At 38.0% G+C, this 25,521-nt stretch overlaps 1 protein-coding gene, 1 long non-coding RNA gene and 1 pseudogene across 12 annotated transcripts in view, besides 1 other annotated feature; 2 read left to right on the top strand and 1 right to left on the bottom strand.

Moving 5' to 3' along the window:
* The window catches only part of LOC101928008 (uncharacterized), a 90,122-nt gene extending 70,691 nt beyond the window's left edge, over nucleotides 1-19,431 (bottom strand). Inside the window, exon 1 of the long non-coding RNA NR_120539.1 lies at nucleotides 19,297-19,431. This is a non-coding gene — a long non-coding RNA (uncharacterized LOC101928008). The remainder of the gene's footprint in view (nucleotides 1-19,296) is intronic.
* SBF2 (SET binding factor 2) overlaps nucleotides 1-25,521 on the top strand; it is a 526,174-nt gene that overhangs the window by 446,269 nt on the left and 54,384 nt on the right. For 8 of the 11 annotated variants that reach the window (NM_001425069.1, NM_001425070.1, NM_001424318.1 and 5 more), the window contains 9 exons: nucleotides 177-347; nucleotides 1,853-2,115; nucleotides 4,861-5,033; nucleotides 5,824-5,897; nucleotides 8,355-8,550; nucleotides 11,490-11,617; nucleotides 12,833-13,008; nucleotides 15,803-15,948; nucleotides 18,877-19,075. In NM_001425069.1, the coding sequence (NP_001411998.1) occupies nucleotides 177-347; nucleotides 1,853-2,115; nucleotides 4,861-5,033; nucleotides 5,824-5,897; nucleotides 8,355-8,550; nucleotides 11,490-11,617; nucleotides 12,833-13,008; nucleotides 15,803-15,948; nucleotides 18,877-19,075 (1,526 nt within the window). Of the gene's footprint in view, nucleotides 1-176; nucleotides 348-1,852; nucleotides 2,116-4,860; nucleotides 5,034-5,823; nucleotides 5,898-8,354; nucleotides 8,551-11,489; nucleotides 11,618-12,832; nucleotides 13,009-15,802; nucleotides 15,949-18,686; nucleotides 18,815-18,876; nucleotides 19,076-19,158; nucleotides 21,518-25,521 lie in introns of those variants that run through there. The other 3 variants (XM_047427658.1, XM_011520396.4, XM_017018377.3) reach the window with 2 other exon arrangements.
* Nucleotides 2,666-2,765: an enhancer, noted in NCBI's record as "active region_4426". NCBI's record gives its function as "activates an Ori minimal core promoter by ATAC-STARR-seq in GM12878 lymphoblastoid cells {active_cell/tissue: GM12878}" and the evidence as "EXISTENCE:reporter gene assay evidence [ECO:0000049][PMID:35858748]".
* RNU7-28P (RNA, U7 small nuclear 28 pseudogene) lies at nucleotides 14,698-14,756 on the top strand (annotated as a pseudogene).

Here is a 25,521-nt window from a genome sequence, read left to right as displayed (position 1 = left end):
GCCCACAGTTGCCAGTTAAAAAGGAGTAAGTTGCTGATTGCTAAGCCTGTACTACCATACGATATTCTTTAGAGAAATCCTTTGATCTCATCTATGATTAACTGTGGCCCCTGTGACCTTATGAACTGTTATAATTCTGCCAGCCCCATGATGATGTATTTTGTGTGTTCTCACAGAAACTTGCCCCTGGAGTCAGCCAGTTTGCTTACACGTGTGTACAAGACCACCCCATTTGGACAAATCAGCAATTTTGGGAGACAACCTTTTACAATGCAGTGCAGGAACAGGTTCGCTCCCTTTATCTCTCAGCCAAGGAAGACAATCATGCCCCGCATCTGAAGCAAAAGGTAAGAGAGAAGAAAAGAACTCTAATTGTGTGGGATTAGGATTCTGGCTTTAAGGAAAGCAGATGTTCCCAGGGCAAAAAAAACTCTAGCTACTTCCTGCCAGTGTATTTGGGTTTTATTTAGGGAGCCCTGTGATATCTTTCCTCTGTTGATTTCAGACATTATGTTTTTCCATAATAACTTCTTAATACAGTTCTTCAGCACTAGGATTGTTTTAATATACTTTAATAAATAAGAATTTCCTGGAAATGACTATAGGAAGTTGAATAGAAAGAACAAACCTAAAATAACAGGCATACTTCTCTATGCAACTAACTTCCCTGGAGGAATGTCAAATTAAAGTTAATTAACTCCAAAATAAATGTAAAATTTGGTAGTTGTATTAAAAAAATGCCAGTAATAAATCTAGGTCTTCTTCTAGGAATATTCTACATGTTTCTCTATGTTTTATCAGCATAAAATATTTTTATGAAAAATATCAAAAAAATTTAAAAATCAAGAAAATTGTTTTTAATTTGAAAGAGTAGTTTTAAATACTCTGAAAGTTTAAAACATCATTTACTAGCTCTCTGGTTTGGGGCAAGTCATGTTACTTCACTGTGCCTTATATCTTCACTGGTAAAATGGATATGATTATTATGAGATTTTAGTGTCTCATATATAAAGTGCATTGAAGAGTACATGGTATGCAGTAATAATAAGTGTTAGAAACTATCATCCTCATGAATTGAACTTAAAGCAGCCTTAACGGCTGATTATCATTCTACTCCAGAAATTTACTGGGCTTCGGGGGTGCTTTTGATCATTTTTTAAGCAGATGTAATGTTAATATTGACACATCTCGAAAGCATTCATAGAGCAAACACATGTCACTGCTTCTTTGTCAGCCATTCTAAAGAAGTCTATCCCGGAGCCAGCCCTAGGTTAGGTACAAGTGAGACCATAGACATACCAGCTCTTCACAAGCTATAAGGTGCTTTGCTGCTGCTTCCTGAGGTTTGTCACATAGTTCCACTCAAGGCCTGTTGGATCTGGGAAAGAAGACTAGGTTTTGTTTTGTGGTTGTTATGTTATGTTTATGTTTTCATTTTTGCTGATTTAAGCATTTAATAGAATAGTTATTTAAAACATCTATGTTAGGCCGGGCGCGGTTGCTCACGCCTGTAATCCCAGCACTTTGGGAGGCCGAGGCGGGCTGATCACAAGGTCAGGAGATCGAGACCATCCTGGCTAACATGGTGAAACCCCGTCTCTACTAAAAATACAAAAAATTAGCTGGGCGTGGTGGCAGGTGACTGTAGTCCCAGCTACTCGGGAGGCTGAGGCAGGAGAATGGCGTGAACCTGGGAGGCAGAGCTTGCAGTGAGCCAAGATCGTGCCACTGCACTCCAGCCTGGGTGACAGAGCGAGACTCCGTCTCAAAAAAAAAAAAAAAAAAAATCTATGTTTTTTAAGCTCACCTGAAGTGATGGTTCTCTTTTGGATTGTGTTGCTTTATTTTTTAGGATAAGCTTCCTGATGACCATTATCAGGAGAAGACAGCAATGGACCTGGCAGCTGAGCAACTACGCCTTTGGCCTACCCTGAGCAAGTCAACTCAGCAAGAGCTAGTGCAACATGAGGAAAGCACTGTCTTTAGTCAGGCCATTCACTTTGCAAACCTCATGGTGAACCTGCTAGTTCCACTCGACACAAGTAAAAACAAGCTCCTAAGAACATCAGCGCCAGGTGACTGGGAGAGCGGAAGCAACAGCATTGTCACAAACAGGTACCAAAATGTGAACACACAGACCCTCCTCCTACTCTTCTTGGGGCCAGTCTTGGCTTGACAGATAATATTAAACATTTTGAGCAAATACTGCTGTACATATTTCAAAAGTTAACCATTTTTCCTCACCTTTGGACTTGCTCAGCTTTTCTTTCTAAAAGATTCACTTCATCCTACTATTCTTAACCACTTCCCACACTTTCTTCTTTTTTATGACCTAATTTTTCCAAATGTCTCACCCATTACTGATCCAGCCCTTCAGTTACTGTCTGCCAAAGCAATTTACAGAAATCATTCCAAAGAAATTAGTGAGCACCTTCTTGCAAAAGTGGCTGTTTGTTTCTCAGCCCTCCTTTTCCTCAACCTTGTAGTCATACCCTCAACCATGCCTTCCTCTCTACCCTCCAGTAACTTCTCATACCACTGAAACTAAAACCCAGTGTTTACCATGGCCTGCAAGGCCTAACGGAATCCGTCCTCTGGCTACTGCTCTGACCCCCTATTTCCTATCACTCTTCTGTCAACCAAACTGGTCTCCCTGCTCATGCTAATCCTCAGACACTCCAAGCATATTCCTGCCTCACATCCTTTGTACTGGTATTTTCATTCTGGAATATTCTCACCTAAACAGGCCAAGAATCACTTCCTCACTTTATTTAGGTCTCTGCTCAAATGTTACTTGCCTCAAGAAGCCCTCCTGACTTCTGCATCTTAATAATACCTCTCCCTCTCCTACTTTGCATTGTCTTTCATGTCATTTTTTACAACCTGATTTATTTTCATATGTTTGCTTGTTATGTTTCCTTTGTCAGTTTTGTTCATTGCTGTATTCCTAGTGTCTTTGCATATAGTACTCAATAAATATTTGGTTGAACAGATGATTAAATGAGTGAATAAATGAACTTATCAACCCAACAGTAGTGAAATTCTATCCTTAGAGCTTCAGTGATGGGTGCCGCAACATCCTGGTAGTTCGAGCTCGCATAAATTCTTCTCCTCATGCTCCTTCAGGCAGCTCCTCTTCTCTTCCCATTCTCAATTCCTCTTCCAAGCTCTTCTTACTCTGTGGAAGACTCATCCACAAGCCTAAATCTCTGGCCCAAACCTTTTAATCTTGTTATCCTAGGTACTTCATTTTTGTCAGGGACACCTCAGAGTTTCTGGTCTTCCAGGCTAGACAACTTGGAATCAGCATTTCACACCATACAGTCAACTGCACAGATCTCTTACCCCCACCCATATAGAGTTTCTTGTTCATCCTCTGGTTATTTAATGGGAACAACATAGTCTGGCCTTTATCACTTCAAGCCCTAATTATAACAGTCTCTTAGTTGTTTCATTTTTTATTCTTCTTTCTACTGCCAAAAGGATCTTCCCGAAATGATGCTTTCCCATTCCTTCACTACTCATAATTCCACAAGACTCTGTTTCAATACAGGACCTATCTGTTTAATTTGTAAGATATTCCTTAGCTGTCACAGCTTTATCTCCATTCTCCATTGCCAGTGACGTTCATCTTCATTATAACAAGCAATAACTATATTTTACATTTCTTTTAAAGTTTTGGACCAGGCATGGGGCTGACTACCTTATAATCCCAGCACTTTGGGAGACCGAAGTGGGAGGATTGCTTGAGGCCAGGAATTCAAGACCAGCCTGGGCAACATAGTGAGACCCTATCTCTACAAAAAATAAAAATTAGTCAGGTGTGGTAGCACACACCTGTAGTCCTAGCCACTTGAGAGGCTGAGGCTGGAGAATCACTGCTGCAGGAGGATTTCTTGAGCCCAGGAGTTTGAGGTTACAGCTAGCATCGCTGCACTCTCGCCTGGGTGACAGAGTGAGACCCTGTCTCTAAAATAAATAAATAAATATAAACAAATAATAATCATTATAGATGACAGTGCTCTCTCAAAGTCTGCATGTTGATGGCCATAGTCTCTGCTTAGCTTTACTTTAACAATCTCTAACACTGATTCAGCTAATGTGGTTGGCTTTGCAGAAAAGAGAAGTTAATAGGAACAGACAAATGAGTCTTTTCCCAGAGTCTGATGGGTTGAACAGTAAGAGCTGAATAAGCAAGAAGGGCAGAGATTGAGCTTTCACATCTGTTCCATTTCAAATTTGTTCCCTTCTCTTGCATGATTTTATCATCTACAGAAGAATGCTGGCTTCAAAGTGGCCAAATGGGTTGCAGTTAACTCAGAGAGTGATAAATCCTGGCAAGAGAAGGGACAGTTTGGTCCTTACATATGGAAGAGTACGCTTGTTGCTGAGAAAAATTCTCTTACTTTGCCTACCAGGGAACATGTTCCTCAGTTGCCAAGTAGCCAAAGATAGCTGTATTACTTGTTCTCTATGTAATAATTAACTTGGGAGGACAGGTTGCTTTAGAAGGCCCAGGTAGTCCATAATAAATGAAAAAATCCTCTTTTGCTTTATTTTCTGTGGTTCCTGCATTCCTTTTGGGAGAGTGACTAAAGGTATTCCTTACAGAAACAAATCTGGGTCCAAACAAATTTCCTTACAGAAACTTACTGCCTGACAGTAGTTTCCAAATGTAGACTAGTAGAACATTGTGTTTTATCACCATCACTTACCAAGGAGCCATGGAGTTAAGTGAGCCTTCTACTTGAGTAGACATCACTTTGCTCATGTTTCTGTCGCTATGTAAATTGACTACTATATAGTAGTCATTTGTTGCATTTAAGTACTGACCATGATTTCTTTCCTTGACTGTCTTAGTATTGCAGGAAGTGTAGCTGAGAGCTATGATACAGAGAGTGGGTTTGAAGATTCAGAGAATACTGACATTGCCAATTCTGTTGTGCGGTTCATTACCCGATTTATTGACAAAGTTTGTACAGAGAGTGGAGTTACTCAGGATCACATCAAGAGCCTTCATTGCATGATACCAGGTAATCACTCTGCAGATATTAGAGAATCAGAATATTGGAGATTATTGAGTTTCAGCATAAAACCTGGCAATACATGTCTTCCATTATAGTTCAGCCATGCTATTTATTTATTTTCTGATTAGTTTTTAAAATGTTTTTAAATTGTTGTAAAATACATATATAACATAAAATAATCTAAGTGTACAATTCAGTGGCATTAATTACATCTACAATGTTGTGCAGCCATCACTGTTATCTATTTCTAAAACTTTTTTATTACCCCAAACACTCTACCCATTAAGCAGTAACTCCTGTTTCCCCTGGTAACTTCTAATGTATTTTCTGTCTCTATAAAGTTGCCTGTTCTAGATATTTCACATAAGTGGACTTAGATAATATTTGTACTTTTGGGTTTGGTTTATTTCATTTAGTATAATGTTTTCAAGGTTCATACGTGTTGTGGCATGTATCAGAATTTCATTCCTTTTTATGGCTGAGTAACTTTCCATGGTATGGCTGTCCCACATTTTATCCATTCATCTGTTGATGGACATTTGAGTTACTTCTCCCTCCCTTTTAGCTATTATAAATAATAATACATGAATATCCACATATAAGTATCTGTTTGAGTCCTTTCATTTCTTTTGGGTATATATGTAGAAGTGGAATTGCTGGGTCATAATGGTAATTCTCTTTAACTTTTTTGAGGAACCAGTAAACTGTAATTAACTTTTAATTCTAAAATATCCAGAATTTGTTTTTATCCTGCTTGTCTGTGTTCTTTCATTTTGAATACTCTGACTCATCCTAGGAATTGTAGCTATGCACATTGAGACCCTAGAAGCAGTACATCGAGAAAGCAGAAGACTTCCGCCTATTCAGAAGGTAATTCCAGACTACATGCTTTCAGGGTATAGCCTCTCTTCTTAAAAACAAACAATAGACTGCTGTGTGCCAGGAAAGGATGTTCACCTAACCTTTGACAGACACTAACTCCAGTTTTAATGATATGTTAAACTGTCAGAGAAGTGTGTCATATAGAACCTTATAAAAAGGATACTGAAATAGGAACAGAATCTTTTCTTAGATTCAACAAAGGAGCAATAATAACCTCTCATTGAGTCTACTTTTATAGGCAGGGCATAAATTAGGAACATTTCTAACCTCTAAGCCCAACCCAAGATTTTATACTGTGCCTATTTTCTCCCCCTCCCCCACCACCAAAAAGGATTTAAGGCAATTATCATAAAAAACCCAGGTTTCTGAATCTGACTATACATCCCAAACAGCTGGAAAGTCTATTAAAAATTCAGAGTCCTGGACCCAACCCCAGCCTCCTGAATTGGAGTACCCCAGAACATGTCTGGGAATCTGTATTTTAACAAGGCTCTCAGATGATTACTTTGTAGTCTGGCGCCAGTAGACTATGGTTCAGGACCCTCTTGCCTATATAACAGAACTTTATAATAGAACAAAAACAAATTGAGGCCAGGAGCCATGGCTCACGCCTATAATCCCAACACTTTGGCAGTCCGAGGCAGGCAGATGACTTGAGCCCAGGAGTTTGAGACCAGCGCCTGGGCAACATGATGAAACCCCATCTCTACAAAAAATAATGTAAAAGTTAGCCAGCCGTGGTGGTGTTATCTGTAGTCCCAGATACTCAGGAGGCTGAAGTGGGAGGATCACTTGAGGCCAAGAGGTTGAGGCTGCAGTGAGCTGAGATCATGTCATTGCACTCCAGCCTGGGTGACAGAGCAAGACCCAGTCTCATAAATAAATAAATAAATAGGTAAATTCATTCATTTAGTCAAAGGAGTGAGCGGAAGGCAGGTAGGTAGGAATATAATTCTATCAGAAACCTGAGACACAGCGATTATTATACTTTGGCTTTACATTTAGCTCTAAACTCACTAGAGCCAACAAAAATAATAGTGCTGATTAGTTTTTATTGCTTAGTAAAAAATAAACATATTAGACCTTCAGGAGAGATTTTTTTTTCCTAGCCCTAAACTCTTCAGAGGAATGTATTATATGGTTACTGAGTCAGAATTTCCTGAGTTGTGTAAATGTTCATTACGTGGCCAAGGACAGGTCTAGTTAAAAGCTCGTCCATATTTTTTGTTTTCTTGAAAAACAAAATAATGTGCAAATAATTTCAAAAGTAATAATGTTCTTTGTATAAATTTGAGCATAAAAGAAATACACATTGTAGAAAGTGAAAGTCCCCTGCAGTCCTCCCTATACTACCTCCACCTCCACCCTTAACTGTGATACCATTGCCTTTAACAGTTGGGTTCACAGTCTTACAATTCCTATTCTTTTTCCAAAAATGGGATTATAATGTACATTCTGGTTTCTAACTTGCTTTTTTAACTAATCTATGTATTCTGGGTTTTTTTTTGTTGTTGTTTTTTTTTTTTTTGAGATGGAGTCTTGCTCTGTTGCCCAGGCTGGAGTGCAGTGGCACAATCTCGGCTCACTGCAACCTCCCCCTCCCAGGTTCAAGCGATTCTCCTGCCTCCGCCTTCTGAGTAGCTGAGATTACAGGCGCCTGCCACCATGCCCAGCTAATTTTTGTGTTTTTAGTAGAGGCAGGGTTTCACTATGTTGGCCAGGCTGGTCTCGAACTCCTGACCTCAGGTGATCCATCTGCCTCAACCTCCCAAAGTGCTGGGATTACAGGCGTGAGCCACTGCACCCAGCCTTCTGGATATTTTTCCATGTTAACACATATAGATCTATGTCATTTTTTAAAGGTTACAAAATGTTTCATTGAATGAATATTTCAGATATTTGAGTTATTTCTCAATGACTTTACTTTTACACAATTCTGCAAAGAATCCTCTCACATTTGGGTATATAAACTTCATTTCTGCCTCTTACCAAATCAGGTTTCTCATGTGACTATCTGGGAAGTCTGGCTTAAGTTTTTTAGGTCTGTAACTGAAAAGATAACCATGGACTAAGTATTAGAAACTCCACAAAAGTTGTGTTTAAAATACTTTTCTATGGTGGCTCATGCCTGTAATCCTAGCACTTTGGGAGGCTGGGGCAGGTGGATTGCTTGAGGCCAGGAGTTTGAGACCAGCCTGGGCAATGTAGCAAGATCCCATCTGTACAAAAAAAATTTAAAAATAAGCCAGGCATAGTGGTGCATGCCTGTAGTCTCAGCTACTCAGGAGGCTGAGGTCAGAGGATCTTTTGAGCCCAGGAGTTTGATGCTGCAGTGAACTATGATTGCACTACTGTATTCTAGGCTGGGCAACAGAGCAAGACCCTGTCTCCAAAAATCAATCAATTAGTCAATCAATCAATCAATCAATCTTTTTCTGTTGTAAGCCCAAGATTCTTAGACCTGCTCTGCTGCCAGGAGAAGAAATTGTCTGTGAGGGTCTTCGAGTCTTGCTGGATCCTGATGGAAGAGAAGAAGCTACTGGAGGTCTTCTTGGAGGCCCTCAGCTCCTGCCAGCAGAAGGAGCCTTGTTCCTCACCACATACAGAATTCTCTTCAGAGGAACACCCCATGATCAGTTAGGTATGACTCGATATGCCATCAGAACATGGGTATCTGTGTGGTACATGAGGTCTCGATCCCATCTGTGCACAGTGATTTGCAGATCATTTTAAATCCAAAGTCAGCTTTTTGCCACACAGGTATTTTGGTGAAATACTTTAGTCTGACAGAGCTAATGATAATTTGGGTCATAGTTTTTTACTTGAAGAACAAAGTGTTATCTTCTAAACAATAAATCAAGGGTTCATTTGCTGAAATGATCATAATTTCATTTCATGAGGCAGAGTGTTATACCCTAGAGATATTCACTCTAACTGCTGAATATATCCCTTGCTGGTTTGTCCACGCTTTCTGAGTCCTACAGTTAACTGTAAAACTAAGGTCTTGCAGATACTTGAACCTTTTTGTGGAAGGATATGCTAACTATCACAAGGTTGTCCAGCACCAACTAATCCCACTTCCCTCTTATTCCATTCCAATTAACTCCACTTCCCTTTTAGCAGACAACTTCTCTTCTACTTGCCAAACTCCTATAACTTCTGTTTCTATTTTCTACTATTCAGTACAGCCTTCTATATTGGAAAGGAATAGCATGCCCTACCAGAAGTAATCTACATTATCTTCTTAAATTCACTATAGTCTATATGTAAAATGCTCTTGTTGATAGGAAAAGCACATAATTAAGACTTTGGGCAAAACAACAGGACTCCAAGTCAAAGCTCAGTGACTTAAATCACTTAACCTTTCTGGACTTTATTTTCCTCTTTTATAAAATTGGGAGATTGGGCTTTCATTGGTGATAATTCAGTGGTTCTTAATGTTGGCTGTATATTTGAATTATCTGGGAATCTTTAAAAAAAAATACCAGTTTCTGGGCCCAACCCTCAAACAATTGTATTAGAATCTGAAGCAGTAGAAATAGGGAGACCCAGGCATCTGTGTATTTCTTTAGCCCCACAAGTGATTGTGATTGAGAACCACTGGGCTAAATGGTCACGAAAGTGCCTTTCTCCTTTGAAATTATGTATGCAGTAGCATTTGATGAGTATGCACTATGTGCTACTCATTGGTTGGACAAGTGAATTCAGATATATAAAATGTATTCTCTTTTAAATCTTAACAGTTGCATTATTCCTAGGTTGAATAGAATCAAGATGGCTTAGTACATCAGTCATAAAAGACTGCTTACCATATAATGCGCAACAGTTCATAAAATTAAATAAGGAAAGATGAATTTGTAAGAATAGTTTTGCTTATTTTGAAAAAGTGAAAAGGAGAAAAGTGTCTTAGCCCGCTCCTTCATATTGCTATACACAAATTGTATTTGAAAGTAAACGTATTTTTAAAAGAAACTATGCAGTACTTACAATTTTTTATAGTAGGACTTTTGTGAGGTTAATGGCCATAAACACACATTTTGGACACGTAAACGTGATACTTATGTGGTCATTTAAATTGCTGTAATTTATTTATTTTGAAGTTATGCGTAGTGTGAAATCTCATATTCTCTGCCTTTTCCTTGCTTATGTGGTCATTTAAATTGCTGTAATTTATTTATTTTAAAGTATGCTTAGTGTGAAATCTCATATTCTCTGCCTTTTCCTTTCAAATTTTGAATTAATTTCACTTAGGAAAATTATTTTTGTCAAAGAAAATCTTTTTATTTCCTTTTAAATTTCTAATTTAAAATTTATCCTTTGATGACACATAGAAATATTATAATTTTACATGTTATATAAATGTAGGTGTTAAATACATCCTAGAACTTAAATCCTATGTACATCCTGACTTTGCTTAGCCTCTGGATATGAGCTTGATGTAAGAATATAGTCAGAATTTTTCTAGATTACAGATTGATAGATCCAGGGAATTAGGATTCTGATTATAATAAATGAAGAAATGTATGAGCTGTTAAATAAGATGAACCTAGTTCAGATCTCCCCACCCCCTCCCCACCCTGGCTTACTAGCTGGGAGGCCTTGTTCATTGCCACTCCTGTTATGTTCCTCTACCACTGCCTAAAATGCTCTTCCTTTCCCTTCTGCAAATCCAGATTCTACACTTCCTTTAAAGCTCCATCTTCTCTCTCAATTCTCCCAAAAATCATTTTCTATCCAGCTAGCATGCAGAGATCCTTCTCTGAAATATTTAAATCCCTGTAGACTGTTCCCTCAAACGTAGGAGCTAACCACATATTATTATATTCTGCATGTGACTCTCCTCCCACGGGAAATTGGAAGCTCTTCAAGGGAGGTCTTGAGTGTGCTACTTTTTTTCTAGACTCTCATCTTCATAACCTCAGGTACTTGATAAATAATTATTTATATTTTCCCATGTTTGCTTTAATAAACTCCTAAAAGTCTTGCGCTTAAGTCCAGGCTTGTTTTCCAAAGGCACATATATATAGTATAACATCTTTTACATATTTCGAAACAAACTTTAAAAACCTATTCTCTTTTGCTTTATCCTTATATTAAATATCTTGGATGTCTTTTCAATACTTGAGGAGTATTTTTTTTTTTTTTGTAAAACCTCCCTTCCTATAAAATTGCCTTAAACCAGGTGATCTTATGTGGCACACAGTAGGTTGGGGAGATAGAAAGAATGAAGGCAGTCAGGCTGTGACAGTTTCTTCACTCGAGGAAAGGACTCTGTCTCAGGAGTGGCAAGTCACTTGTCTCTAACTTCTCAGATTTCCAAGAATTCCAGTTCTTGCCTCATTCCTTCTAGTCAAGGATCCCTTCTACTGCTTCCTGTGCTAGTTGTGTGAAATGTAAGTCACTTGCCACTCCTGAGACATAATCCTTTTCTGGAGTGAAGGGCACTTTCTTTCACTGCATCCCTGGGCAGTGTCCTCTTCAAATACATTTCTCTAGCAGAGACTGATGAAGTAAGCAGTAGACACTCTAAAAGTGAGCTATAAAGTGTTGTTGCTGAAGCTGTGTCCTGTCTATTTACAGTGGGTGAGCAGACAGTTGTGCGGAGCTTTCCCATTGCCTCCATCACCAAGGAGAAGAAGATTACAATGCAGAACCAGCTACAGCAGAACATGCAAGAAGGACTGCAGATCACATCAGCATCTTTTCAGGTATTAAAAAAGGAAGCCATTGTTTTACTATTCAAAAATTTTCAAAAGTCAAATGATATTATGGCCATTTTGTGTGGTCATGTGCTCAGAAGTTAAGAGGATGAGAATGGGGAAGATCATAGGGTCTGAGAGGGTAGTCATCAGCTGAGTAAACTCATGAATAGTCTTGGATTTAATCCCTGGAGCCCCTTAGCCAACTCAGAGTACCAGCAGATACTCAATAATGAGTGATCTTAGAAACTTAGACAAGTACGATTGGTTCTTATTCTCTGCCAAGTTATACCTCAATACCTGTTTGATGAAGCCTTTAGATAAAAAGCAATTATCTTGTCATCTGTTTTGAAGGAAATGCCCTGTGGCTGTTCTATGGAAAGGTAAACAGTATAGCTAGGGCTAAAGTTCTATTGGTACTAGTTGCATACCCCTGATAAAGCAAGAGGTTTTCCAGGGGTTTATGACTGTATCAGAACTTTGTAGAATTACTGCAATAACTCAATAATTATTGAATAATGCAAACCAGACCCTGGAAGAAGTGACCTTTTCTTAGTTTTTCCTGTTCTTAAATTCTCAGTTTGCAATATTTTGCTTGTCTTATTCTTCATCACTTCTCAGATTTCTAAGAATGCCAGTTCTTGCCTCTTTCCTTCTAGTCAAGGATCTCTCCTATTGGCTTCTATGCTAATTGTGTGAAATGTAAGGCTGCTGATCTTTAGGCTCCAGACCTTCTCTCATCACCTGAAAGCATTGGCTGCCTAAGGATTTCCTCACTGTCCCGACTACCAAAGAACTCCACACTCAAATATTGCCTAGCTGTACTGATTAGGATTCTAGTCAAATGGATTTCTTTTCTTCCTACATTTGTTGTATCTGGGTAGGAAGAGACCTTATTAGGCCAAATTCTCTATCTGGAACCAACCAGTTGAGAAATGAGAAGGGCGTGTTTGCTATACAATTCCCTATCCCATTGTAGAAGAAATAATCTTAAAGAAACTGACTTGAAGATACATGATTTTCCTTGCCAACTAGCCATTTATGGCAAGTAAACCTTTTTGAGCCTTTTTTTATTTTTAAAAATTTAAAAATTGTATTGCATGTTATCCAAAGTCCCTTTGACCTCCAGTCTTGCCATTTTGTGTTATTATATTCTGTTGTTTGGGGGAAAGTTGCCAGGAAATCCTTAATGCTTCTTTTGTGTTTAATCTCTTTTGCTTCTAGTTGATTAAGGTAGCATTTGATGAAGAAGTCAGTCCAGAAGTAGTAGAGATCTTTAAGAAACAGCTGATGAAGTTCCGTTATCCTCAGTCCATTTTCAGTACCTTTGCTTTTGCTGCTGGACAAACTACCCCACAAATAATTTTACCAAAACAGAAGGAAAAGAACACTTCTTTTCGGTAAGAAGAAAGACAAGTCTGTTAATTTCAGCCCTCCCGTAATTGATTGCAAAAGGAGTAACCTATCCTTTGTGTCCAGGTGTAAGCGATTGCTGTTTTCATTCACTGTTCTGTTTCTGTCAAGCCCATGGGGCCAAGATCATAAAGTTACGGAACAGCAGCATTGATAAATGTAGCAAGTTTCAAAAACTAAAAGCTACCAGAGGCTTTGACTGTCATGTCCATTGCTCACAATGCATTTTTAGAATGTGAAATTCTATTTTCTCTTTTTTCCATATTGATCACTTTCTAAATGCTTTTGACCAATCCCTTCAGCTTTTATTAATATCCAGGCCCAGTGGACAGATTTGCTTTTATCTAGAAACAGGAGGCTATATTTTCTGTTTTTCATAACTCTTGAACATTTCAAACTTACTGAAAATTCATAACAGTAGAACAAAGAATTTCTGTATATATTTTACCCAGATTCACCAGTAGTTTCTACTTTGGTCCATTTGTTTATCATTCTCTCTCTCATATATACACATATTTTTTTTGAGCCATTTGAGTTAGATATAAGATGTCCCTTTATCCTTAAGTACATCACAATATGTTTCCTAAGAACAAAGACATTATCTTTTTATGTTTTTTATTTTATTTTGTTTTTTAAATTTATTTATTATACTTTAAGTTCTGGAATACATGTGCAGAACGTGCAGGTTTGTTACATAGGTATACATGTGCCATGGTGGTGTGCTGCAGCCATCAATCCATCATCTAGGTTTTAAACCCTGCATGCATTAGGTATTTGTCCTAATGCTATCCCTCCCCTTGTCCGGCATTATCTTATATAAGCACAGTAATCAAAGCCAGAAAATTTAATTAATATAAAACTTTTATCTAACCCAGAGTCTATATTCACATTGTGTTAATGATCCTTTTTTAGTTTAGTACCTAACTTTTTTATTCCTGGTCCAGGATCTAATCCAGGATCAGGCATTGCATTTAGTTGTCATATTTCTTTAGTATGAACCCTTATTTTCTAGAAAGTTTTTAGAAATTTATGTTGAAAGTTTTAAACTTCAGTTATGACGAAATAACAATAGTTTTAAGTTATCTTCCATCGGTGATAAAATATAAGGGCTAAAATTTCATTCACTGTTAACCATGTAGAATTCGGGCATCTGCCAATACAAATTACAATACTAGGGAGAGCTTTGCAGACTTTGGAAAAGAGGCCCTTCCTTTGCCTGAAAGAAGGGTAGATTGGGGATTATAGAAAATTTGAGGTTCCAGACAGTATATTATTTCTCAGTTGCACAGCTAGCCACCTGTCTAGCTTTGCTTACCAGGTAATATCCAGGTATGGTATGCTGAAGCATGAGCAAGTTCCTAGGGATTTACAGCAGTGGACCAAGCATCTTGTCTTAGCACCATAGGGTCGGAGAGGAGCCTATGATGTTTGTTATCTCAGCCTTCAATGGAAGAGACAAAGCTTTGTGTGGTATTTTACATTTAGAAACTATCAGAAACATGTATATTTATATTAGTTTCAGAAATATATACCTGTATCAAGCCTGTTATATCAGCTGCAACAGAGATGTAGCAATTTAAAAATTTTAAGAGTTGCCTGGGTATATGAAACAAAAGATATATATAGCTTTAGCTGGGAAAAAATTTCAAAAATCCCATTGAGTTTAAGTTACACCTAGTGTTACAGCTCTTTTAGAATTTGTCTAGCAGACTTTCCAGTTTTTGCCAGAAAGCCCACTAATAAAAATTAAAAAATAAAAGTTACACAAGTGATTTACAATAAGTTTAATTTAGGAAATATCAGTATTTTATGATTCCCAGCTGTTATCTCAAACATGTTTCATAACCTTCAGGTTTACATTGCAAATAACTAAAGATGGAGTCTGGTGAAACTATTTGATAATAAAAGAAGCCTTATCACTTTTTACTGAATGGCAAGAAAACACCAGAAGAGTTCTTTGTGATAGAGAAGAATATAATCAAGAACAGTCTTCAGAGTCTTCACCTCCATCTGATTAGTCAGGAAATAGGTTCTCTGTTTAATTCTCTGGATTGCCTAGATTTTCTGTCAGCAAGAAGGGTTAAATTGTTTGAATAAATAAAGTACTTCTAGGTCCATTACATCTTAGTTTCCCTTTAATTAAAGCTGATTCTCAAAAGGATACTCAAGTTTCTGATTTCTTATTTTTCTCCTTCAAAAAAGGGGAATTATATTATTTTTCTATGCTTCTTAAAGTTTACAGCTAATTAGAGTCAGGACATCACATATACACACTTAAAACAGTTAAGAAATAAGCAAATGTGTTGCCAACTATGAAGGCCATATGATCTCAAAGAAAGGCTTGTGAGTTGGTAGAAAGAGAGTTTGAGTAAGTAGAGAAGTGGGCAGGCTGGCTTTCCATGTAGGAGGACTCCAACAAGCATGCTTTGTGGGAACTGTGGTAGGGACAGTGGCATGAGGATAACCAGAGTGGGTTCAGGGCAGTCCTCCCCGACAAGCTAAACCAAGGAGTTTAGATTTGGGGTGATAAGTAGTTTGTGTCTCACTTTACATTTTCCTGCACGTTTTTCCTAAGACAGTATCCTGATGACAGTGGTGTTTTATGGGAAATTAGTCTACTGCCATATTAAAAGTAACCTAAAGAAGGAGAGGCTTAACAAGAGTCTGGACCAGTAGTGGCTGTGGGAAAGGAGAAGAAACAATTTGAGCTAAGTAGGTGTCAACAATACAAGTAGTGCTTTTATATTAAGTTGACATTCTCTTTGGTTTTATGACTTGTAGTACCTTCTCAAAAACAATTGTGAAAGGTGCCAAAAGGGCAGGGAAAATGACAATTGGGCGGCAATATTTACTGAAGAAGAAGACAGGGACAATTGTGGAAGAAAGAGTAAATCGTCCTGGATGGAATGAAGATGATGATGTATCTGGTATGTGAAAACTTGAATTTCCTTCATTATTCAACTTTATTTCTTATATGAATAAGAGACTCAGATGTAGTTGCACTTACATCTTGATTCACAAAAACCTAGATCTCATGAGAAGATGGAAGCACTTACCAGCTTCTTAGAACTGGGGGAAAAATATTTTCCCAATATCCCATTGTTCAGGTAATATTTTGTTAAATTATACTTCTTTACTAAATTCATACAGCTAATTGGTCATTTTTATGTGTGTCTCATTAAAAGAAGAAAGAAGGGAACCCCACTGCATGGGAAATTTAGGTATAGAGTAGTCCCCTGTATCTTATCCTTCTAGAATAAGAATTTAAGGTAAGGACATTGAACATTTCAAGTTGAAGATTTCAGTTTTTGGTAAGAACATTGTTGGTGCTCTTAATCAAAATGGGGGACCTAAGATGAAGGAATACTTAGGTCATAAGAAAAAATACTTGCTAAATATTTGAAAGAACAGCTACAATATCTCTCAGTGGGAAAAATAGAGGCAGAAAGCTAGTAGCAAAATCTCTGAGTGACTGTTTCCCATTCTTAACCCAGTATCAAATATGCTATGGAATCAGCACTACAGAGAAGCTGATATAATGGGAGGCAGAATGCCATTACACCCTTTTTTTCCCCTCAGGATCTTAGAATCAGTCACCGGTGGTTTTGCAAAAACTACTACTAACAACAACAACATTTTAAAAAAGAAACCTCATCTTCAGAGAAAGCACTGGCTAACCGGTCTCCATTTTCAGTTGCTGGGATAAAGAACCTATGTGGGCCAGGCGCAGTGGCTCATGCCTGTAATCCCAGCACTTTGGGAGGCTGAGGCAGGCAGATCACTTGAGGCCAGGAGTTCGAGACCAGCCTGGCCAACATGGCGAAACCCTGTTGCTACTGAAAATACAAAATTTTAGCCAGGCATGGTGGCATGCGCCTGTAGTCCCTACTGCTCAGGAGGCTGAGGCATGAGAATTGCTTGAACTTGGGAGGAGAAGGTTGCAGTGAGCCGAGATTGCACCACTGCACTCCAGCCTGGGTCGGACAGAGCAAGACTCTGCCTCAAAAAAAAAAAAAAGAACCTATGTGGTTTTGTATGTATGTATGCATGCCCTGGGTGAGAACATGTACATACAAGCTTGCCTTTGGGGCAATGAAAATACCCACCATTATATCACTGAAATAACACCACACCCATTTGTTGGAACCCTGATCTTTTCACAGTCATGTGTCAAACCATAAAAATATTATCGCTACCCATCACTATTGACTCTTCTAACTCAATTTTTTTTATATTTCATGGAACAAAACCTATTATTCTATGATAATTATTCTACTAAAAGACCAAATTATATAATGTTCTTTGCTCCTCTGAAAATTAAAGGCCAACACAGAATTGATACCTGATGATATTGCATTGTGAAGTTCACAAATGGAAACATGAATTGAAGTTCACAAATTGAAACACTTAATTGTTGATGTTCTGCTTTTTTAAAATATATTTTAATGAAAGAGGGCCATATCTTTGCCTGCACATTAGTACTTTGAGTACATTTTCAAAAACTTTGAAAGCTTGATTTGATGTCTCTTACTTTCAAAATAAATAGGGAAGTAAATTAGGACAGTTTTTAACATGGATTTTTTTTTTCCCCAGTTAGAACATGCAGTACCAATTAGGAATGTTCTTTAAAAAAAAAAAAGCCTCCCTAAAATATTTGATTATTGAGTAAATTCTTCCACATCTAAAATTGTAAAGGATTCTGTAACCTGTGATTGTAAAACTGTGAGGGGATTTCCCACGTACACCACATCCTCTAACAAAAATATTTCCAGGAAAAAAGTGTAACTCCTTTATACCTCTCTGAGGAAATAAAGTTATTTTTCCCTCTAGTGAACTTCTGGTTAATCCAGAAATTTCTAATAAAAGTTTATAGTCTGAAAAGTAAACTGAAATCTGGATGATGAGTTTGTATAGTGATTTTATGAAAGATAAATTTTACTGATGGGTTAGCCTCTGACAAACTTTGGGTGTTTTTATAGAGTCCTAAATAGAAATCACTGCAATTTGACAATAAGCAAGCCTTCATGAAACAGAACAGTGTAGGTAATGAATTCAAAATTATATTGTTTTTAGAAATTATTTAAATGGTATTATTTTCCTGACATTTTTTAGTTGAATTACTGATATTTTATTTCTTGACTATTCATTACACTTTTAATTTATGTTTATTTAAGTGTGATTCCTCACAGAAGTTACATGATTTAATTTGTGATATACATAATACTTGTCATCCTAATATAAACCTGTCTTGGTGTAAGAGTCTTCTTCAAAAGTAGCGGGTTTGTTTTTTTTTTTTTTTGCGGCTGGGGGCGGGGTTTGAGACAAAGTCTCGCTCGGTTGCCCAGGCTGGAGTGCAGTGGCACGGTCTCAGCTCACTGCAACCTCCACCTCCCGGGTTCAAGTGATTCTCCTGCCTCAGCCTCCCGAGTAGCTGGGATTACAGGTGCCTGCCGCCACACCTGGCTAATTTTTTGTATTTTTAGTAGAGATGAGATTTCACCATGTTGGTCAGGCTGCTCTCGAACTCCTGACCTTGTGATCCGCCCACCTCAGCCTCCCAGTGCTGGGATTACAGGCGTGAGCCACCACACCCAGCCCAAAAGGAAGTTTTTAATCCTGTGCTTTGAGCTAATCATTTCTTCAATATCTGTCTCTACCATCCCAGTTTCAGATGAGAGTGAGCTCCCCACAGGTACTACCCTGAAGGCCTCAATTGCTTTGAGCTAATCATTTCTTTGATATCTGTCTCTACCATCACAGTTTCAGATGAGAGTGAGCTCCCCACAGGTACTACCCTGAAGACCTCAATTGCTTTGAGCTAATCATTTCTTCGATATCTGTCTCTACCATCACAGTTTCAGATGAGAGTGAGCTCCCCACAAGTACCACCCTGAAGGCCTCCGAGAAGTCTACAATGGAACAGTTGGTGGAAAAAGCTTGTTTCAGAGACTATCAGCGTTTAGGTTTAGGAACCATAAGTGGCAGCTCTTCCCGTTCAAGACCCGAGTATTTTAGAATTACTGCCTCCAACAGGATGTATTCACTCTGCCGGAGGTAAGTGTGTCAGTGGGCTCCAAAAAGAGGTCTTCCTTCCTTTCTTCTTATTTGAATCTTTAATAGGCCATTTGCATCCATAGCCCTGAGATAGATAAAAATGCCTGAAAATAAGAACAAGGTCTCCAGGATACGAGCAAGCATCTCATTGGCATTCTCGGAACAATTACCTTACTGAAAGTACCTCTAGTAGGTGAGAAGGTGAAAGGTAAAGTACTCACCCCCTATGAATTTCTCTTGTCTTTCTCTTCCCAGTTTGCTTCTTTTCTAGCATGACTAAAGATAACTTGAAGAACAGGATTTTCCCAGCCCAATAGAGGACATGAAAGTCTTTTGTAGGCTGGGGAGCCACAAACTCTTTCTATAAAGGGTCAGTTGGTAAATATTTTCAGTTTATGAGCCATAGAGTCTCTTGTTGCAGCTATTCAACTGTGCCGCAAAAGCAGCCACAGACAGTAAGGAAATGAGTAGGCATGGCCAGTTTTGGCCCACAGGCTATAATTTGCTGACCCAGGTGTAGGCAAGGCTTTCTTATGCGGTCTAATTGGAATGTTTTCAAGGGAATATTACTTAAAGGATGTAAATAAAGAGGCATTTTCTTTTTTCAGTTCTTGTCATCTCTCACTGTTTTTCAAATATGTTGAGTCTTATTCCATGCTTTACTATATGTAAATATATATTTTCTAAAATTACATTTTCACCATCCACAAGTTTAGTCATTTTCATCTCCAGGTAAGATTTTTCTTTGCATTTATAAATTCCTGCTTAAACAGCTCTGAAATCACTTTGTAAATTGTAAGCTTTGTACATATTTTAGAAAGTTATCTTAATGTTACTTTCAACCCTGTTGCTCTTGAAGATAGATATGTCATTTTAAATGGCAATTTAAGTTTACAAATATTAATATGAAACTTCAGAAACAAGTTGGGAATATAGTTTTGAGATTGTGGCCAAATAAACATTTTGCATGAAGTTCTGAAAAATTGGCACTCTGAGTATGCAGTAATTTTTCTGGAATTCTCCGTCATTCTAACTAAATTTTCTCTGAAGATGAGTCATGTTGTCGGGGTGTGATGTCCTGCTGTTTGGAAAGTTTGCTATCAAAATTATGCCAGCCATTGAGAAAACAGACTCATTTATCATTCCAATCTGTCAGAAGTAAAATAAAATTTTAATAGATGACTTATTAGAACACTGGTTATAAAGCATTTATGATGGTAAAAAGTAATATATATCCATTAAGTTATTAGCAGGAAGGAAATGGAATAATAAAAAATAATCCAAAAGAAGGCAAGAAAGGAAAAAAAAGGGGACATAGAACAAATGGAATAAATAACAAGTAGTAAGATGGTAGATTTAAATTCAAATATATCCATAATTGCATTAATTATTAATTGACTAAATGTTCCAATTCAAAGAAAGAGATCAGGGTTTGCTTTAAAAAAAAAAAAAAAAAAAAAGTGGCTGGGCTCAGTGGCTCACGCCTGTAATCCCAGCACTTTGGGAGGCCGAGGCAGGCAGATCACGAGGTCAAGAGATGGAGACCATCCTGGCCAACATGGTGAAACCCTGTGTCTACTAAAAATACAAAAATTAGCTGGGCATGGTGGCTTGTGCCTGTAGTCCCAGCTACTTGGGAGGCTGAGGCAGGAGAATCACTTGAACCCTGGTGGTGGAGGTTACAGTGAGCCGAGGTCAAGCTACTGCACTCCAGCCTGGTGACAGAGCAACACTCCGTCTCCAAAAAAAAAGCTTTCTGCTGCTTTTAAGGGACAAATCTAATATACAAGTATATAAAAAGGTAGAAAGTAAAAGGATAGAAAAAATATACCACGCAAAACTACCTTTAAAAAAAGTTGTTGTCACTATATGAATATCAAAGTAGACTTTAAAAGCAGTAAGAAAGGATGGTTGATAATGACAAAAGGTTTATTTTACACACAGCAATTCATTAAGATCAAGTGGAGTTTATTGTAGGAATAGAGTACTGGTTTCACATCTGAAAATCAGTCAGTGTAATTTACCACATTAACAGAATTAAAAAGAAGTTTATTATATAAAGATAAGCATTTTGCAAATGCAAAGTACACTTATGAGTTTTATTTATGTAAATTTATTTATGTAAATTCTGTATTTTTTGTCACATTTGTGATCTTTAGAAAAAAGCTCTCAGCAAAAGAGAGTAAGAATGAGCTCCCATGAGTAGCGCCCTGAAGGCCTCAGAGAAGTCTACAGTGGAACAGTGGGTAGCTCCTTAATCTTCTGTCTTAAAAATCCTACACAGGAAATTACTTATCTTAGAAATAAATAAAATATTAAAAGCTTTTTCTCTGAAATCCTGACAAGGATGCCCATTATCACCATTTCTATTCAGTGTTGTACTAGAGGTCTTAGGCAGTGCAAAGAGACTAGAAAAGTAATAAAAGGTATAAAAATTGAAAAGAAAGAAATAAAACTGCCATTACTCACAGATGACCAAAATGCACATGTAGAAAATCTGTAGGAATCTGCCAATAAACTTTTAAAATTATTAAGTGGATTTAGTACAAGGTCACTGATAAGGTCACTAGTACAAGGTCATTTACAATAATTATATATATACTAAAAACATTATTACAAAATGAAATTTTCAAAAAGTGATGCTATTTTGGTATTATTCCTACTATTTACAGTAGCACTAAAAAACATTACTTAGGGATGAATCTAATAACCAGTGCAAGACCTCTACATGGAATACTTAAAACAATATTGAAGATCATTGAAGAGCTAAATAAGTAGATATTTCAGGTTCTTAGATTAGAATATTCAGTATTCTAAAACTGAATTTCCTGAAATTGTTCTATAGAATCAGTCCCAATCTCAGCAAAATGTTAATGGAAACTGAAAAGGTAATTCTAAGAGTTACATAAAAATGTGGAAGGCAGAGTAGCCAAGATAGTCTTACAGAATAATACTATAGGATGTCAAGAGTTTTTATAAAGCTACAGTAATTAAGACAGTATAGGACTGACACAAGAATGGACAAACGGACCAGTGGAGCAAAATAGGGAATATATTAAACAGAAACACCCCAACATATGTGGATACTTGATTTAAGATAAAAATAACACTTAAGAGCAGTGGATAGAAGATGTTTTTTCAATAAAGGATGCTGGGAAAAATTAATCTTGACCTATTCCCATTGACCTATAGATCTATATGTAAAAGGTTAAAACAATAAAACAATAGGTTTGTTATTAAGGTTAAAGCAAATAAGCTTAAAACAATAAAGCTTCTAGAAGATAAGAGAATGTCTCCATGACCTTGAGGTATAGGGAAAGATTTCTTGGGATAGGAAAAACATTATCTATAAAGTAAAAAATTGATAAATTTAGAACTTCTGTATATCAGGAGATATCATCAAGAGAGTAAAAAGGACTATAAATTGGTTAAATAACTTTGGAAAGTTGTCTAATGCTGTCTAAACATTTAAACATCTACTGAACATATTCATAACCTAATTCCTAGAAATTCTCCTCTTAGGTGGAGTAGAATTTCTAACAGAAATACATATGTGCTCCCAAAAGACATCTACAAGAATGTTCATGGCAACATTCTTAATAATTAAAAAAACTAGAAACTACTCAAAATCAACAAGAGAATAGATAAATGGTATCATACTCACACAGTGAAATACAGTAATGAAAATGAACAAACTACACGTGAGTACAAATAACACGGATGGATCTCATAAACATAATATTGAGCAAAAGAAGCCAAACATGAAAGAATAAACTCTGTTGATTCCCTTTATCTAGAATTCAAAAAGAAGCAAAATTCATCCACATTGTTAGTCAGGATAGTAGTAATCTTTTTTTTTTTTTTTTGAGACAAGGTCTTGCTCTGTCTCCCAGGCTGGAGTGCAGTGATGTGATTCCAACTCACTGCAGCCTCAACCTCCCTGGCTCAGGCGATCCTTCCACCTCAGCTTTCTGAGTAGCTGGGACTAGGCGCATGCCACCAAACCTGTCTAATTTTCTTTTTATTTTATTTATTTATTTTTGTAGAGAAGAGGTCTCACTATGTTGCCCAGGCTGGTCTCAAACTCCTAGGCTCAAGCCATCCTCCCAGCTGGGCCTCCCAAAGTGCTGGGATTACAGGTGTAAGCCACCATGCCAGGCAGGATAGTGGTAATCTTTAAGAAAGAAGAATAAATAGTGACTTGGAGGAAATACTAGATCTTGGATGCTTGTAGTGGTCAATTTCTTGACCTAGGTGGTAGTGATATCACCTAGGTTTTGAGCATTTGTATGTGAATTATGCTTGAATTAAAAAGTTTCCACAACAGCTTCTGAAGCCTAGTCTACCTCTTGAGAGTTAACTGTGGAGCCCAGAGCTGAAGGCTCTGAGTAGTGGGTTAGGATGGGTGGCAGGGAAATTGATATCTTTCATTACGAAATGAGACTGGTACTGGGAGTAGCTTCTCTTGGTCTTTAGGCTTCACACAATTTGCCCCAGCATGAGGGGCTCTCCAGCTGTCATGCAAGCCCATGTCAGGAAGCAGGAGAGAGCCATAGATCTTGTATGTAACAGAGGATGGTCTGTGTGTAGTGCTCATTCACAGTGGAAGGAGATGGCTCACTACAGGGGGCAGGGAGTGAAGGAGTGTGCTCGTTCTTTACCGATTATTGAAGTAGCTCCTGGAACCATTAAACATTATTTCCCTGTCTAATACACATTGTATCTTGAAGCAAGTTGGGAAAAACTGATATTCAAGTGGAGATAGAGGGTCCTAATTATGGAACTGCCTTTTCAGTCTTCATGAGTGATTATGTCTATAGCTTGGTCTTTTCATCAGTTTGTGGTATTACAAAAATTCAGGCCACAGCTTCCTAGATCACCAAAGCCCTAGGCTTTCAGAATGCTTCCAAGTTATCATTGGTTAAGTATGGAAAGTTAATTTGGCATTCAGTAAAGTAGTTGAAGGTTATGATTTATGTGACCATAAACTAGATTTCCTTTCCCTCCTGTCAGCACTGGTTCTTATCAAGATAAGGGATAAGAAGTTCTGGAAATGGATAGTGGTGGTAGTTGCATAACATTGGGAATGTACTAAATGCCACTGGTTTGTACACATAAAAAAGGATAGCATGAATCCTAGCACTTTGGGAGGCCGAGGCGGGCAGATCACCTAAGGTCAGGAGTCCGAGACCAGCCTGACCAACATGGAGAAACCCCATCTCTACTAAAAATACAAAATTAGCCAGGTGTGGTGGCACATGTCTGTAATCCCAGCTACTCAGGAGGCTGAGGCAGGAGAATTGCTTGAACCCAGGAGGCGAAGGTTGCAGTGAGCCAAGATCGCACCATTGCACTCCAGCCTAGGCAACAAGAGCGAAACTGTGTCTCAAAAAATAAATAAAAAATAAAATAAATAAAAAGATACCATGGGCCGGGCGCAGTGGCTCACGCCTGTACTCCCAGCACTTTGGGAGGCCGAGGCAGGTGGATCACCTGAGGTTGAGAGTTCGAGACAGCCTGACCAACATGGAGAAACCCTGTCTCTGCTAAAAATACAAAATTAGCCAGGCGTGGTGGCACATGCCTGTAATCCCAGCTACTCAGGAGGCTGAGAAAGGAGAATTGCTTGAACCCCGGAGGCAGAGGTTGCGGTGAGCTGAGATCACGCCATTGCACTCCAGCCTGGGCAACAGTGAAACTCCATCTCAAAAAAAAAAAAAAAAGGATAGCATGATAAATTTTATGTTAGGTATATTTTCCCAAAATTTATAAATCACCAGCTGGGCACGGTGGCTCATGCCTGTAATCCCAGCACTTTGGGAGGCCAAGGTGGGCAGATCACGAGGTCAGGAGATCGAGACCATCCTGGCTAACACGGTGAAACCCCGTCTCTATTGAAAATACAAAAAATTAGCCAGGGATGGTGGCAGGCGCTTGTAGTCGTAGCTACTCGGGAGGCTGAGGCAGGAGAATGGCGTGAACCCGGGAGGCGGAGCTTGCAATGGGCCGAGATCGTGCCACTGCACTCCAGCCTGGGCGACAGAGCGAGACTGCATCTCAAAAAAAAAAAAAAAAATCACCAAAAAAAAGATATAGGATTAGTGGTTAGGAGGTTATAAATATAAAATCTGTTTTGTGTAATATTTCTAATTAAACTAAAAAAAAGAAATGACTCTGAAACCTGCCTGTCTTCTTGCATTTATTAATCTGTGTGTACTCTTACATGTTATTTTCCCAGCATCATATCCTGTAACTTTATAAGCTAATCTTTTAAAATAAGTATCAACATGTAGTGTTATTAACTATTTAAACTCATTTGACATTTGAACAAATTGTTCTCATGCCAAAAATAATTTGGTTTTGGTTTTTAAGCCTTTCACCATCTCAGGCAGTCTAATATTGGCATGCTGTATTCTCTAATGTCATCTCAGTGATCTATGAATTGT

This window comes from Homo sapiens, chromosome 11 (genome assembly GCF_000001405.40).
Source record: "Homo sapiens chromosome 11, GRCh38.p14 Primary Assembly".
Taxonomy (NCBI): Eukaryota; Metazoa; Chordata; class Mammalia; order Primates; family Hominidae; genus Homo; species Homo sapiens.
This window is presented reverse-complemented; position numbering and strand designations above follow the sequence as displayed.